Source organism: Homo sapiens, chromosome 12, assembly GCF_000001405.40.
Source record: "Homo sapiens chromosome 12, GRCh38.p14 Primary Assembly".
NCBI lineage: Eukaryota > Metazoa > Chordata > Mammalia > Primates > Hominidae > Homo > Homo sapiens.
This window is the reverse complement of record NC_000012.12, coordinates 57,394,341-57,410,023: the sequence shown is the minus strand read 5'-3', so window position 1 is coordinate 57,410,023 and position 15,683 is coordinate 57,394,341. Positions and strand designations below refer to the sequence as shown.

Below are 15,683 nucleotides of genomic sequence, written 5' to 3'. Positions count from 1 at the left end.
ATGTGTGGTTATTCTGACCCTAGATTTATACAGATGGTAAATGTAAAAGAAAATTGAAAAACAAATCTACATATTCTCTCATTGATTTAAGCCCATGTGCTTTTTTTCTTTTCTTTCCTTCCTTCTGGCTCTTCCTACATCAGTTTTAGAAGGGAGGGACATGTTTTCTTTGGAAAAACGAGCTGTCTTCAAAGAACTTACTGAGACAAAAAAGTTATGAAGGGGGTTATGGGGTAAATTTTTGTTTTCCTTTAGCTTATTTCTATTCATAAAGAATATTTATTTTTATAATTAGAGGAATAAACCAATTATCTTAACACTTTTTACAAAAGGGATAAAGGGGCTATATGTCATCTCTGAAGCTTGTAGGTACTCCAGTAGACCAGGTGGTCTTAATTGGTCTTCAATTAGGTAGTGATTTCTTTTTTTCCTGGGTTTTGTGACTTTTCCTTTGGGTAGGCTCTCTGTGTATTGCAGCCAATTTTTTTTTTCTTTTTCTTTTTTTTTTTTTGCCCCACCTCTCAGCTCTAGTTTTTATTAAATAACTTCACTCTACTTTATCAGTTAGTTAACAGAACTTCTATTTAAATCTAGTAGTATATAATTCTCTTTCTGTGACAGAGTATAAATATGCTCATTTGAACTCTGGGAGAAGGAAAGCTGGTGCGTATTAGCTTGCCTTAAGTGGCTAGAGACTGTTTTGGTGTGATCTGTGTAAAATTTGAAGAAGATAATATTGTATGTTTTACTAGAGTAAAAACTTAATTTTAGTGCAGAGTGGCTATTGGGGTGATAAGGAAGAATATTGTATTTTTCCATAGGTCCCAAGGTTTTTTGAGACAACTTGAGTGTCAGATAAGGTACTTGGGATCATTAGGAGGCTTAATAATCATTTTAGGGTTTGTGTGTGTTAAAGAACCTTACTGACTGGCTAGCTATAGAGATAAAAAATGAACAATTAATGAGCAGGATATAATGGATTAGATCCTGTGATGGAAACAATATGCAGTATAATTTAATTAAGTCAATTGCTGAGTACAAACAGATACAAAATAAGAGAGAAGTCAATATAGAAAGGCATCGTGGAAGAAGTAGAAATTGAACTAGGCTTTAAAGATTAGTATACAAAATTCATTTCAGTAATCATCTTTTTTTTTTCAAGCCAAACTCATCCTTTTAATCAGTAATCCACTCCTGAGTTAACTAACCCACTCCCTCAATAATAGCATTAATCCCCTCATGAGGGTGGAACTCTCATGGATCATCATATTTCAAATATATATATATTTTTTGAGATTTGCTCTTTTATGAAACATTTTACTATGGAAAATTTCGTATGTATTCAGAAGCAACAAGAGTGGTATAAGGAATGTCCATATGCAATTATCTGCTCATGATTAATTTTGTTTCATCTATATTCCTAGTACCTCCCTTATTGTTTTGTTTTTGTTTTTAAATAGAGACAGGGTTTAACCATGTTGCCCAGGCTGGTCTCGAACTCCTGAGCTTAAGCAATCCGCCTGTCTTGGCCTCTCAAAGTGCTGGGATTACAGGCAGGAACCACCAAGCCCGGCCCCTTATTGATTATTTTGAAGCAAATCCTTGATATATTATTTTGCCTATAAATATATCAGCATGTATCTAAAAAAATAAGGAATTGCAGGTGCGGTGGCTCATGCCTATAATCCTGGCACTTTGGGAGTCCGAAGTGGGAGGATCACTTGAGGTCAGGAGTTCAAGACCAGCCTGAGCAATACAGTGAGAACCCATCTCTACAAAGACTTTAAAAATTAGGCCAGGCATGGTGGCTTGCACCTGAAATGCCAGCACTTTGGGAGGCCGAGGTGGGAGGATCATTTGAGGTTAGGAGTTCGAGATCAGCCTGACCAACATGGTGAAACCTTGTTTCTTCCTAAAATAATAAAAACTAGCTGGGCGTGGTGGCAAACGCCTGTAATTTCAGCTACTCAGGAGGCTGAGGCAGGAGAATGGCTTGAACCTGGGAGGTGGAGGTTGCAGTTAGCTGAGTTTGCGCCACTGCACTCCAGCCTGGGCAACAGAGTGAGACTCCACCATCAGAAAAACAAAAAATTAGCTGGATGTGGTGGCACGCACCTGTAGTCCCCAGCTATGTGGGAGGCTGAGCTGAGAGGATTGTTTGAGCCCAGGAGTTTCAGGCTGCAGTGAGCCGTGATTTTACAACTGCACTCTAGCCTGGGTAACAGAGCGAGACCCTTTTCTCTACAAAAGAAAACAAAAAAACACGCACAAAAATAAGGACTTTAAAAAACCAATTGCCCGTTTAAAATAATAATTCCAGGCTGGGTGTGGTGGCTCATGCCTGTAATCCCAGCACTTTGGGAGGCCGAGGCGGGTGGATCACGAGGTCAGGAGTTCAAGACCAGCCTGGCCAAGACGGTGAAACCCCATCTCTACTAAAAACACAAAAAATTAGCTGGGCACGGTGGCAGACGCCTGTAATTCCAGCTACTCGGGAGGCTGAGGCAGGAGAATTGCTTGAACCCAGAGGGTGGAGGTTGCAGTGAGCTGAGATTGTGCCACTGCACTCCAGCCTGGGCAACAGAGTGAGACTCTGTCTCAAAAAAGAAAAAAAGAAAAAAAAATTCCTTAATATTAAATATCTGGTGTTCATATTTCACTGATTGTATCATGATTTTTTTAGTAGCTTATATGTTTAAAATAGGATCCAAATAAAGTCTGTTATAGTTGGTCAGTGCATGTTTAACATCTTTTAATTTTTTTTTTTTTCTCTTGAGAAGGAGTCTTGCTCTGTTGCCCAGGCTGGAGTGCAGTGGTGAGATCTTGGCTCACTGCAACCTCCACCTCCCCGGTTCAAGAGATTTTCCTGCCTCAGCTTCCCAGGTAGCTGGGATTACACGTGCCCATCACCATGCCCAGCTAATTTTTTGTGTTTTTAGTAGAGATGGGGTTTCACCATGTTGGCCAGGCTGGTCTCGAAATTCTGACCGCAAGCAATCCGCCCGCCTTGGCCTCTCAAAGTGCTGGGATTACAGGCCACCATGCCCACCCTAAAATCTCTTTTTCTAAAAGACTTTCCCTCACTTATTTTCCTTCGTAGTTTATATATTAAAGAAATTGGGTCATCTGTCCAGTAGAATTTCCCACAGTTAACTGGATTAATTGATTGACATTATTGTGGTGTCATTTAACATGTTCTCTGTCTCCCATATTTTCTTCAAATTGGTAGTTATATCTAGATGATCAGGTTCAGATTCAATATTTTTGGTTAGCATGCTTTATGCAGTGTTGTATACTTCCATCAAGGGCATGTGATGTCTATTAATCTCCCTTTTATGATGTCAGCAGCTGTTGATAATCATTGCCTAGATCCCTTACTTCATTGAACTTCATTAGAGATTATAAATGGTGATACTCAAATTCTATCATTTCTTAATTTTTTTTTAGCTGCAGTACTTTTTATAAAAGATACTCCCCTCATCGCTTATTTGGTTACTCTGAGGTACAATTTGTATAGGACAGAAAAGACAAATGCTTAAGTCTTTTAATTAACAGTTATGACCATTTTCAAAATAATTAGTTTGTTTATTAACATTTTCTAAAGTTGACTGATGAGTTTTTAAAAAATAGTCATTATGGACTCTTCAATTTAAATATATTTAATGTGTTTAAGCCAATTTCAGTTTTTTTTTTTTTTTTTTTGAGACGGAGTTTCGCTCTTGTTGCCCAGGCTGGAGTGCAGTGGTGCGATCTCGGCTCACTGCAACCTCTGCCTCCTGGATTCAAGCGATTCTCCTGCCTCAGCCTCCCGAGTAGCTGGGATTACAGGCGCCTGCCACCACACCTGGCTAATTTTGTATTTTTAGTAGAAATGGGGTTTCACCATGTCGGTCAGGCTGGTTTTGAACTCCCGACCTCAGGTGATCTGCCTGTGTTGGCCTCCCAAAATGCTGGGATTACAGGCATGAGCCACTGCGCCTGGCCACTTTCAGTTTTATCCTTATTAATGTCTCATTGTCTCATCTTTGGCAAATGGGAACCTCTTCAAGTTGGCTCCTATGTCCTTTGGATGTGATCCTGTTAGTCTTTGATAGCTTCCTTGCTTTCTGGTCTGACAAGATGACCGAAGATCATCTTTTACATTTTCATTTCTGAACATGGATCAGACATTGCCCCCCAAATCCTGGTTCCTTTTATGGAGAAATGATGTTTAGAGATCACAATCTGGGTGCAAAAGGTATTCATTTGCTTAGTGTGTTGGTCATTGTTTCTTGGAGTTTTCTATAGGAAATAAGGTATTTTTTGTTTGTTTTTAAATAAAGTATATCCTAAGTTCATGTCAGTATTTCCAATTCAACATTTGGACTGTAGGTTGGTCTGTCTTCTTTTTTTGAGACAGTCTCACTCTGTCACCGAGGCTGTAGTGCAGTGGTGTGATCATAGCTCACTGCAGTCTTGATCTTCCAGGCTTAAGCCATCTTCCCACCTCAGCCTCCCCAGTAGCTGAGACTACAGCACACACCACCATGCCCAGCTAATTTTTGTTATTTTTAGTAGAGACAAGGTCTCACTATGTTGCCCAGGCTGGTCTCGAACTCCTGATCTCAAGCTCCAGTCTTGGCCTTCTAAAGTTCTGAGATTACAGGCATGAGCCACTGCACCCAGCCAGTAGGTTTTCCTTTAACATCTTCAATCATATAGAAATTTGCATTTTTCAAATTACAAAAGTAATATGTACTCATTATGAGAAATTTAAATGATTTTAAAGTATAAAAGCCAGCCTAGTCAACACAGTGAGACCCGCATTTCTACAAAAAATTTTTTAAATTACTTGAGTGTGCTGTGACACATACCTGTAGTCCTAGCTGCTTGGGAGGCTGAGGTGGGAAGATTACTCGAGCCCAGGAGGTTGAGGTTACAGTGAGCTATGATCATGTCACTGTACTCTAGCTGGGGCGACAGAGTGAGACCCTGTCTTGAAAAAAGAGAAAGAAAGGAAAAAAGTATATAATGTAAAAGATGAAAATTCTGACCCTACCCCAGAATCATTAGTTAACCTACTTAAAGATTCAAAGGTTTCATAGTGGGTGGGTATCTTTGTCTCATATTAATTATAGATATCTTGTTTTTTTTTAAGTTTTATTTTTTTGTAAAATCTGTATTTTACAAATACAGATGGGGTCTCATTATGTTTTTCAAGCTGGTATTGAACTCCTGCGTTCAAGTGATCCTCCTGCCTCAGCCTCAAAGTATGGGGATTACAGGTGTGAGCCAACATGGCTGACCTAGATACCTTGTTTTCTTTTGTTTGTTTGTTTTTGTTTTGAGACAGAGTCTCGCTCTGGTGCCGGGCTGGAGTGCAGTGGCACAATCTCGGCTCACTGCAACCTCCACCTCCTGGGTTCAAGTGATTCTGTTTCAGCCTGTTGAGTAGCTGGGACTACAGGCGCACGCCACCATGCCCATTTAATTTTTTTAAATTTTATTTTTAATAGAGACGAGGTTTCACCATGTTGGCCAGGATGGTCTCGATCTCTTGACCTCGTGATCTGCCCTCCTCGGCCTCCCAAAGTGCTGGGATTACAGGTGTGAGCCACTGTGCCTGGCTAGATACCTTGTTTAGGTAGCGCTGAACCTATAGTTAAAAATTAGGAATGGATGGCCAGGCGCGGTGGCTCACGCCTGTAATCCTAGCACTTTGGGAGGCTGAGGCGGGTGGATCACCTGAGGTTGGGAGTTCGAGACCAGCCTGACCAACATGGAGAAACCCCATCTCTACTAAAAATACAAAATTAGCTGGGCGTTGTGGCGCATGCCTGTAATCGCAGCTACTCGGGAGGATGAGGCAGGAGAATCGCTTGAACCCGGGAGGCAGAGGTTGTGGTGAGCCAAGATCGTGCCATTGCACTCCAGCCTGGGCAACAAGAGCAAAACTCCATCTCAAAAAAAAAAAAAAAAATTAGGAGTGGACTTTTTTTATTTTATTTTTATTATTTTTTTTTAGTATATGTGCTGCCAAAGTAAGCACATGGGATGGATATTTTTTGAGACTAGAGAAAATATGAGAAGTTGTTCCTTATGTAAAATGAGAATTCTTATACATTTTTGGATTTACTGTTTGAATTGGTATTACATTTATATGGTTCAAAGTTTTAAGGATAGAAAAAAGTATGAAATGGAGTTTCCATCCTGCCTTTTTTTTTTTGAGACAGAGTCTCACTCTGTCGCCCAGGCTGGAGTGTAGTGGCATCATCTTGGCTCACTGCAGCCTCCACCTCCTGGGCTCAGGCGATCCTCCCTCCTCCCACCTCAGCCTCACAAGTTGAGCTGGGACTACAGGTGTGAGCCACCACACTCAGCTAATTTTTGGTATTTTTAGAAGAGACGGGTTTTTGCCATGTTGCCCAGGCTGGTCTCGAATTCCTGAGCTCAAGCAATACACCCGCCCCTGTCTCCCAAAGTGCTGGAGTAACAGGTGTGAGCCACCATGCCAGGCCCCATCTTGCTCTTTTTTATTTTTTATTTTTTTTTGAGACTGAGTTTCGCTCTTGTCACCCAGGCTGGAGTGCAATGGTGTGATCTCGGCTCACTACAACCTCCGCCTCCCAGGTTCAAGCCATTTGCCTGCCTCAGCCTCCCAAGTAGCTGGGATTACAGGCGTGCGCCATCACGCCCAGCTAATTTTTGTATTTTTAGTAGATACGGGATTTCACAGTGTTGGCCAGGATGGTCTCGATATCTTGACTTCGTGATCCACCTACCTCGGCCTCCCAAAGTGCTAGGATTACAGGTGTGAGCCACCAGCACCCGGCAAATTGTTTCGTATTTTTAGTAGAGACGAGGTTTCACCATGTTGGTCAGACTGGTCTCGAACTCCTAACCTCAGGTGATCCACCCGCCTCAGCCTCCTAAAGTGCTGGGATTACAGGTATGAGCCACCGTGCCTGGCCCCATCTTGCTCTTATACCCCCAAACCAGTCACTTCCTACGCCTCTCTCCAGAGGCAACTGTTATTACCAGTTTTTGTGCTTTATATGCATTGATAAGCATAAAAAAGGCAAGTATGTATATGTATATTTTCCCCCATTTTACAAAAATGGTTCTGCATCTTTTTTCACTTAGCAATATAGCTTTTAAGTATTATACATCAAGAATTTCCTTATTTTTGGCTGGCTGCAGTAGCTTATGTCTGTAATCCCAGCATTTTGGGAGGCCAAGGCAGGTGGATCACTTGAGGCCAGGAGTTTTTTTTTGGAGACAGAGTCCTGCTTTGTTGCCCAGACTGGAGGACAGTGCTGTGATCTCAGCTCACTGCAGCCTCTGCCTCCCGGGTTGAAGTGATTCTCCCGCCTCAGCCTCCCGAGTAGCTGAGATTTACAAGCGCCTGCCACCACGCCTGGCTAATTTTTGTATTTTTAGTAGAGATGGGGTTTCGCCATTTTGGTCAGGCTGGGAGGCCAGGAGTTTGAGACCAGCCTGGCCAACATGGTGAAACTCCAACTCTACTAAAAATATAAAAATTAGCTGGACATGGTGGTGCATGGCTATTTGGGAGGCTGAGGTATGAGAATTTCTTGAACCCAGGAGGTGGAGGTTGCAATGAGCTGAAATGGCGTCACTGCACTCCAGCCTGAGCGACAGAGTGAGACTCTTATCTCCAAAAACATTTCCTTATTTTTGTTTATGCATGCAGAGTATTGTGGGATATGTATGCACTTTTTTTTTTTTTGAGATGGAGTCTTGCTCTCTTGCCCAGGCTGGAGTGCAGTGGTGGGACTTCAGCTCACTGCAACCTCTGCCTCTCGGATTCAGGAGATTCTCCTGCCTCAGTCTCCTGAGTAGCTGGGATTACAGGCGCCTGTCACCATGTCTGGCTAATTTTTGTATTTTTAGTAGAGATGGGGTTTCACCATGTTGGCCAGGATGGTCTCTAACTCCTGACTTCAGAAGATCTACCTGCCACGGCCTCCCAAAGCGCTGGGATAACAGGTGTAAGCCACTGTGTCTGGCTTGTGCATGCACTTTTTCTTTTATTTTTTTGACACAGAGTCTTGCTTTGTTGCCCAGGCTGGAATGCAGCAGCTCGATCTTGGCTCACTGCAACCTCCACCTCCCGGGTCTAAGTGATCTCCTGCCTCAGCCTCCCGAGTAGCTGGGACTACAGGTGCCTGCCACCACACCCAGCTAATTTTTGTATTTTTAGTAGAGGCAGGGGTTTCACCATGTTGGCCAGGCTGGTCTCGAACTCCTGACCCCAAATGATCCACCTACCTTGGCCTCCCAAAATTCTGGGATTACAGGCATGAGCCACTGTGCCTGGCAGAATAGTCTTTAAGTATTGAGAAACTGTCAAGCTCATCATAGTGATTACATGATTTTCAAAATTCTGATTTTCACTTGAGAGCTCGATTTTTATCATTCGTAATAAATCTATTTTGTTCAATGGTCAGCTGCATTCTTTGTTTATGATTTAAGTGGGCTGGCAATTTGAGCAAGACTCTGTCACAGTTTGCCTCTATTCCACATGGTTTTGGCTGGGCTCACTCATTTGTGTTCAGTTGGCACGTTAGCTAGGGGCTGGTTGGACCTGGATAGCCTCATTCACATGTCTAGCATTGGGCTAGAGCTGTCCTCTAGGTTGGTATGGCCTCTTGCAGGCTGGCTTGGCTTCTTTGCATGATGGTTAGGTTCCAAGAGGTTTTGAGTGGAAACTGAACGGCCTCTTGAGGCCTGGGCTCGGTGGTCGCAGTGTCATTCATGCTGCACTCTGATGGTTGAAGCAAGTCACAAGGCCAGCTCATATTCAAGGGGTGGGGAAATGAACTACACTCTTTTTTTTTTTTGAGACGAACTGCACTTCTTTATGGGAATTGTTACACATAACTGTGGCCATGTTAAACATGGGCATAGTTCTTTATTATTCCTCTTTTTCTCCTTCCCTTTCTCTCTTTCATTCTTTTTAAATGAAATGGATGTTTTCTGCTTGTTTTTATTGCCCTGACTTGTCTTTCTTTTTGAAGTTCATGTTAGAACAAAGCTTACTTACTTAAATATTTCTGTGATTATTTGGTGTGGCTGGGGACTGATATTTTCAGGTCCCAGCTTAGCAACTATTTTTCAGATTACCGTAATAATACCAAACATCTGTTAATGCTGAAAAGCTATTGTTTCTTCCCCAGGTGATTTTGATCTCTTTGAAAAATTGGCAATTTCTGAGGGTTAACACTCTGGTCCTTTTATGGGCTCTGTTTCCAGCCCTTTATGGCTTGTTAGTTATAGAGAGTTACTAATATTGACCTGAAATATACATATGTATTTTGTTGTTGCTAGTTGCTCCATGAAGTCAGAGAGGGAAGGGCTCTGCTGCAGGAGCAGAAGGTGTCTGGATGGTAGTTGTCTTGAGTAGACAGTGTTTATTGTTTTTTTTTAATATATATTTTTATTATACTTTAAGTTCTAGGGTACATGTGCACAACGTGCGGGTTTGTTATATATGTATACATGTGCCATGATGGTGTGCTGCACCCATTAACTCGTCATTTACGTTAGGTATATCTCCTAATGCTATCCCTCCCCCTTCCCCCCACCCCACAACAGGCCCCGGTGTGTGATGTTCCCCTTCCTGTGTCCAAGTGTTCTCATTGTTCAATTCCCACCTATGAGTGAGAACATGCGGTGTTTGGTGTTTTGTCCTTGCGATAGTTTGCTGAGAATGATGGTTTCCAGCTTCATCGATGTCCTTACAAAGGACATGAACTCATCATTTTTTTATGGCTGCATAGTATTCCATGGTGTATATGTGCCACATTTTCTTAATCCAGTCTATCATTGTTGGACATTTGGGTTGGTTCCAAGTCTTTGCTATTGTGAATGGTGCCACAATAAACATACATGTCCATGTGTCTTTATAGCAGCATGATTTATAATCCTTTGGGTATATACCCAGTAATGGGATGGCTGGGTCAAATGGTATTTCTAGTTCTAGATCCCTGAGGAATCGCCACACTGGAGTAGACAGTGTTTTTATATGTGAAATAAACAAGATTCTTTGGCAAGTCAGTGACTTGTCAGTCCATCAGGATGAATCAGCGGAAGTCCTAGGTGAGGTGAGAATGTCAGCACAGTGAGCCCCTTGCCCTGAGTTTATCGGGCATCCCATTAAGGTAGCTGTCATAGCTCCTATTTTAGAGAAGAGTAGGAGTCATTGTTCAAGATTTAGCTTACTTTAAAAACTTTCAGGGGGGAAGGTCACTTTTAGTATAATGACACCATTAGAAGTGGCATGTGGCTGTTTTTCAGATTACAGCCATTTTGGTGTGCCCAAGTGTTACCAGTTGTTAGGATCTTTAAAACTTGTCTTCAGGTGACTAGAGGCTATGCTGCTTCTCCAAGTAAGTTTTATTAATTGTCTTGGGTCCTAGACAAGTTAACTGTAGTTTCTGACTTATCTATTGCCTAAACCTGTGATAATTTGATAGAAATAGGAACTAAGAGGTGGCATTTTATTGCAAAAGATGGATGTTGGCTGCTAAATACAGCTGATTAGAAGGCTAGGACAAAGTGTCTGTTTTTCTGGTGACGGGGTCATTATTAAAGCTTTATTTTATTTTATTTTATTTTTTGAGACAGAGTCTCACTCTGTTGCCCAGGCTGAAGTGCAGTGGCATGATCTCAGCTCACTGCAACCTCCACCTCTCGGGTTCAAGCAATTCTGCTGCCTCAGTCTCCCGAGAAGCTGAGATTACAGGTGCACGCCACCATGCCCCGCTAATTTTTGTATTTTTAGTAGAGACGGTGTTTCACCACGCCAGCCAGGCTGGTCTCAAACTCCTGACCTCCTGATCCACCCACCTCGGCCTCCCAAAGTGCTGGGATTACAAGTGTGAGCCACCGTGCCTGGCCTAAAGGTTTATAGAACGCTTCAGTAGTCAGATGGCTGAGTTCAGCTCCTTTCCACTCCTGTGAAGTTATCTTTAAGACATTTGGAATCCTTCATAGAAGTCTTATCAGCAGTGATTCTCTTATAGGTGTTTGCTACTTGGGTCAATTTAGCCTAAATGGTTCTAAGCTGTGAAGCACTCTTCAATGCTATGCTGGTAGCCAGATCTTTGACAATTGCTGCTGCCTCAGAAGATTGGATTTGGGCCCCACAGAGGCAGAGAACAGTTAACTGCCAGATATGACTGCCATCTTATTTTCCAAGTGTAAATTTTACCTTCTGAGAAAGGAAGAGAGGGCTGGGTGCGGTGGCTCACGCCTCTAATCCCAGCACTTTGGGAGGCTGAGGTGGGCGGATCACTTGAGGTCAGGAGTTTGAGACCAGCCTGACTAACATGGTGAAACTTTGTCGGTACTAAAAATACAAAAATTAGCCGGGCATGGTGGCGGGCACCTGTAATCCCACCTACTTGGGAGGTTGAGGCAGGAGAATGGCTTGAACCCAGGAGGTGGAGGTTGCAGTGAGCCGAGATCACGCCACTGCACTCCAGCCTGTGTGACGGAGTAAGACTCCATCTCAAAAAAAAAAAAGAGAGAGAAAGGAAGAGAGATTTCTGAGGATACAAGGCAGATTGTTAGAATGAAGAAAAGAACAAGGTTTTGACAGTTTGGCCATTTTATTGGCTATACAAATAAGTTTTAAACACCTTAAGAAACCCAAGTTTACCTCAGAGGAAGTAACTTCTTAGCTTTGTAAATGCACCAAACAATTAGAAAACTGTTTCAGTGCTTATCATGTGTCAGACACTGTTTAGAATTGCAGGTACAGATACGAACAAGGTAATAAAATATTTCTTTTTCTTTTTCTTTTTTTTTTTTTGAGGCAGAGTCTCGCTCTTTTGCCTAGGCTGCTGGAGTGAAGTGGCATGATTTCGGCTCATTACAACCTCTGCCCCTCTCCCCTGCCCACCCCCACCACCAGTTTCAAGCGATTTCCTGCTTCAGCCTCCTGAGTAGCTGGAATTACAGGTGCCCACCACCATGCCCAGCTAATTTTTGTATTTTTAGTAGAGACGGGGTTTCACTGTGTTGGCCAGGCTGGTCTCGAACTCCTGAGCTCGTGATTCGCCCGCCTTAGCCTCCCAAAGTGCTGGGATTATAGGCGTGAGCCACTGTGCCCGGCCCACAGTATTTCACTTTTAATTATGATATGATTACAATTAGGGCAAGAAAGTCAAAATTATGTTGCTCTTGATTCTCTTAATCAGAATTAGAGAGTGAACTCTTGGTGTGACAAAGCTCTTAGTGTGAACCCACTGTGCCCACTTAAAAATTAGATGTATCTGGGAATGGCTTGAGTGCCAATGGGGAAAGGAAACTAGTAAATATTTTGCATAGGGGGGAACAAGGTATTACATGGGAAAAAGTTTACCACAGGAGGAGTGTTTTAGGACCAGCACTAGTGGTGAAAAGGGGAAAGGCAATATCCTCTGGCCATTCCTTCGCAACTTTAGCCAACTACTCCACATTCCTAATGTCAAAACCGTGATGTGCAGGGGCTATAAAAAAAAACTAGAACTTTTTCATAGAAACCTTTGTTAAGATATCAAGAGGGCAGACTTTCATGATGTGGTATTTGTGGAACAGGGTTATATAAAACAAAATGGTGAGTTAGGGATATTCTCACTTTAGCATAGAACACAGTAGGGCTTGGGTGTTTTGAAGGCTTCCAAGAATACAGACTGACTTGGGCATATTAAGGGTTCCAATGGTGGCCTCCTGAAATAGATTAAACAGCCAGCCCTCAGGGTCTTGTAATAATAATAACTACTGCTTTTAGGGTGAAGAGATACTAAATTATGTACTTGTAATGCCTACTTATATTCACAGAATAAAATTCTGCCTCTGGCCTCTTTTTGCTTCTACTTCTCATCTATTAAGAGAGATCCTAGTTTTGTTTGCTCAGTTCTAGACAATTTTTTTTTTTTCTTTGAGATGGAGTTTTGCTCTTGCTGCCCAGGCTGGAGTGCAATGGTGTGATCTTGGCTCACTGCAATTTCTGTCTCCTGGGTTCAAGCCATTCTCCTCCCTCAGCCTCCCAAGTAGCTGAGATTACAGGTACATGCCACCTTGCCCAGCTAATTTTTTGTATTTTTAGTAGAGATGGTGTTTCACCATATTGGCCAGGCTGATCTCGAACTTTTAACAGTAGGTGATCCACCTGCTTTGGCCTCCCAAAGTAAAGTGCTGGGGTTACAGGTGTGAGCCACCATGCGCAGCCTAGACTACTCTTTTTTTTTTTTTTTTTGAGACAGAGTCTCACTCTGTCACCCAGCCTGGAGTGCAGTGGCATGATCTCAGCTCACTGCACCCTCTGCCTCCTGGGTTCAAGCAATTCTCTGGCTCAGCCTTCTGAGTAGCTGCGATTACAGGCGCCCGCCAACACACTTGGCTAATTTTTGTGTTTTTTCAGTAGAGACGGGGTTTCACCATCTTTGCCAGGCTGGTCTTGAACTCCTGACCTCGTGATCCACCTGCCTGGGCCTCCCAAAGTGCTGGGATTACAGGCGTGCGCCACTGTGCCCAGCCTAGACTACTCTTTTTTATTTTTTTATTTTTTATTTTATTTATTTATTTATTTTTTTGAGACGGAGTCTCACTCTGTCCCCCAGGCTGGAGTGCAGTGGTGCGATCTCGGCTCACTGCAACCTCCGTCTCCCGGGTTCAAGTGATTCTCCTGCCTCAGCCTCCCCAGCAGCTAGGATTACAGGCACATGCCACCGTGCCTGGCTAATTTTTTGTATTTTTAGTAGAGACAAGGCTTCACCATGTTGACCAGACTGGTCTTGAACTCCTGACCTCAAGTGATCCACCGGCCTCGGCCACCCAAAGTGCTGGGATTACAGGCGTGAGCCACCGCGCCCGGCCTAGACTACTCTTTTTAATGAGTAAAAAAGAGCTGAAGAATTTCAGGGAATAGACTGGGTGATTAATTTATGTTAGAAAGTGGTAGGCCAAGAACTGCTCATACAAAGAGGGAGTTAATGTAGAGAGGAACAAAATGCAGGGTTTTTTTAATTGTAAATTGACAGTGGGAATGGATATAGAGGGTTCAGGGCAGGGGCAGTGTTAGGGGAAACATTGTGAGCTGAAGAAATTGGGAAAGATGATATTAACAGGTGCTGCTGTGGATTTTGAATTGGATCTAATATATTAAGGTTTAAAATTGCTTTTAACTTGTTTTTTTTTTTCCCCCTCCTCCCCCAGAGGTTAGACTTGTTTCTTATATGTGATGCCATTCCAGCACTGGACTCATGGAGGCTGAGCATTTATTCAGGTAATAATAGATAACATTTATGGAGCACTTTCTGTGTTCCAGGCAACAAATTGTTATACATCTGTTCTCATTTAATCCTCACACAACTCCATGGTGTTGGAAGTGTTATTGTACCCATTTAGTAGATGAAGAAATTGAGATGCAGAGAGTGCATCAAGAGTGAGTTCAGTGCCAGGCGAGGTGGCTCACACCTGTAATCCCAGCACTTTGGGAGGCTGAGGTGGGCAGATCACCTTTTTTTTTTTGAGATGAAGTTTTGCTCTTTTTGCCAAGGCTGGAGTGCAGTGGCGCCATCTCAACTCACCGCAACCTCCGCTCCCGGGTTCAAGCGATTCTCCCGCCTCAGCTTCCCGAGTTGCTGGGATTACAGGCATGCACCACCACGCCCGGCTAGTTTTGTATTTTTAATAGAGGCAGCGTTTCTCCGTGTTGGTCAGGCTGGTCTGGAACTCCCGACCTTAGGTGACCTGGCCGCCTCAGCCTTAAAGTGCTGGGATTACAGGCGTGAGCCACCGTGCCCGGCTCTAATTTTTTTTAATTTTTTTTGAAACGGAGTCTTGCCCTGTGGCCCAGGCTGGAGTGCAATGGCGTGATCTCAGCAACCTGTGCCTCCTGAGTTCAAATGATTCTCCTGCCTCAGCCTCCCTAGATGCTGGGATTACAGGCGCCCACCACCATGCCCAGCTAATTTTTTTTGTATTTTTAGTAGAGACGGGTTTCACCATGTTGGCCAGGCTGGTCTTGAACTCCTGACCTTGTGATCCACCCGCCTTGGCCTCCCAAAGTGCTGGGTTTACAGGCGTGAGCCACCGCGCCCAGCCTTATAATTTTTTATAAAGTAGATAAAATGTTTTGAAATAGTTAAAATGTATTTGCATGAATATCCATATAAGTTAAATATGTATAACTAGGGAATTCTTTCTTAAGAGGTGATTAATATAGATAACAGAAATCTCATGATTTCTTCCCGCTTGAGATACTGTTCACAGGTATTTTCACCTTTAAGAAGCCTTATTAGAGTTGCTTATAGGACCCTTCTTGGTGCATTTAAATGCTTATATACAGATTACATTAATTGCAGTACTATCATATCAGTTATTGAGTGGCCAGCATTAATACATTTGTCCTATTTTTCTTTCTCTGTCTTTTTAAAAAAAGACCTTTATTGAAGTGTAGTTGACATACAGTAAACTGCACATATTAAAGGTATACATGCGCCATCTCAGTTCACTCACTGCAACCTCCGCCTCCCGGGTTCAAGTGATTCTCCTGCCTTGGCCTCCCGAGTAGCTGGAACTACAAGTACAAGACGGGGTTTCGCCATGTTGGCCAGGCTGGTCTAGAACTCCTGACCTCAAATGATCTGCCCACCTCAGCCACCCAAAGTGCTGGGATTACAGGCATGAGC

General features: G+C 43.0%; 1 protein-coding gene across 40 annotated transcripts in view; it reads left to right on the top strand.

Annotated features, from left to right (window-relative positions):
* Positions 1 to 15,683, top strand: part of R3HDM2 (R3H domain containing 2) — a 177,378-nt gene that overhangs the window by 21,118 nt on the left and 140,577 nt on the right. For 31 of the 40 annotated variants that reach the window (XM_047428533.1, XM_047428528.1, XM_047428534.1 and 28 more), the window contains one exon: positions 14,206 to 14,275. The exons of 7 other annotated variants lie outside the window; for them this stretch is intronic. Coding sequence is in view for 14 of the 33 variants with exons in the window: in XM_047428518.1 (XP_047284474.1) it covers positions 14,206 to 14,275 (70 nt within the window). In the remaining 19 variants the exon portion in view is untranslated. Of the gene's footprint in view, positions 1 to 9,967; positions 10,392 to 11,948; positions 11,968 to 14,205; positions 14,276 to 15,683 lie in introns of those variants that run through there. 2 more of the 40 variants (XM_047428507.1, XM_047428511.1) reach the window with 2 other exon arrangements.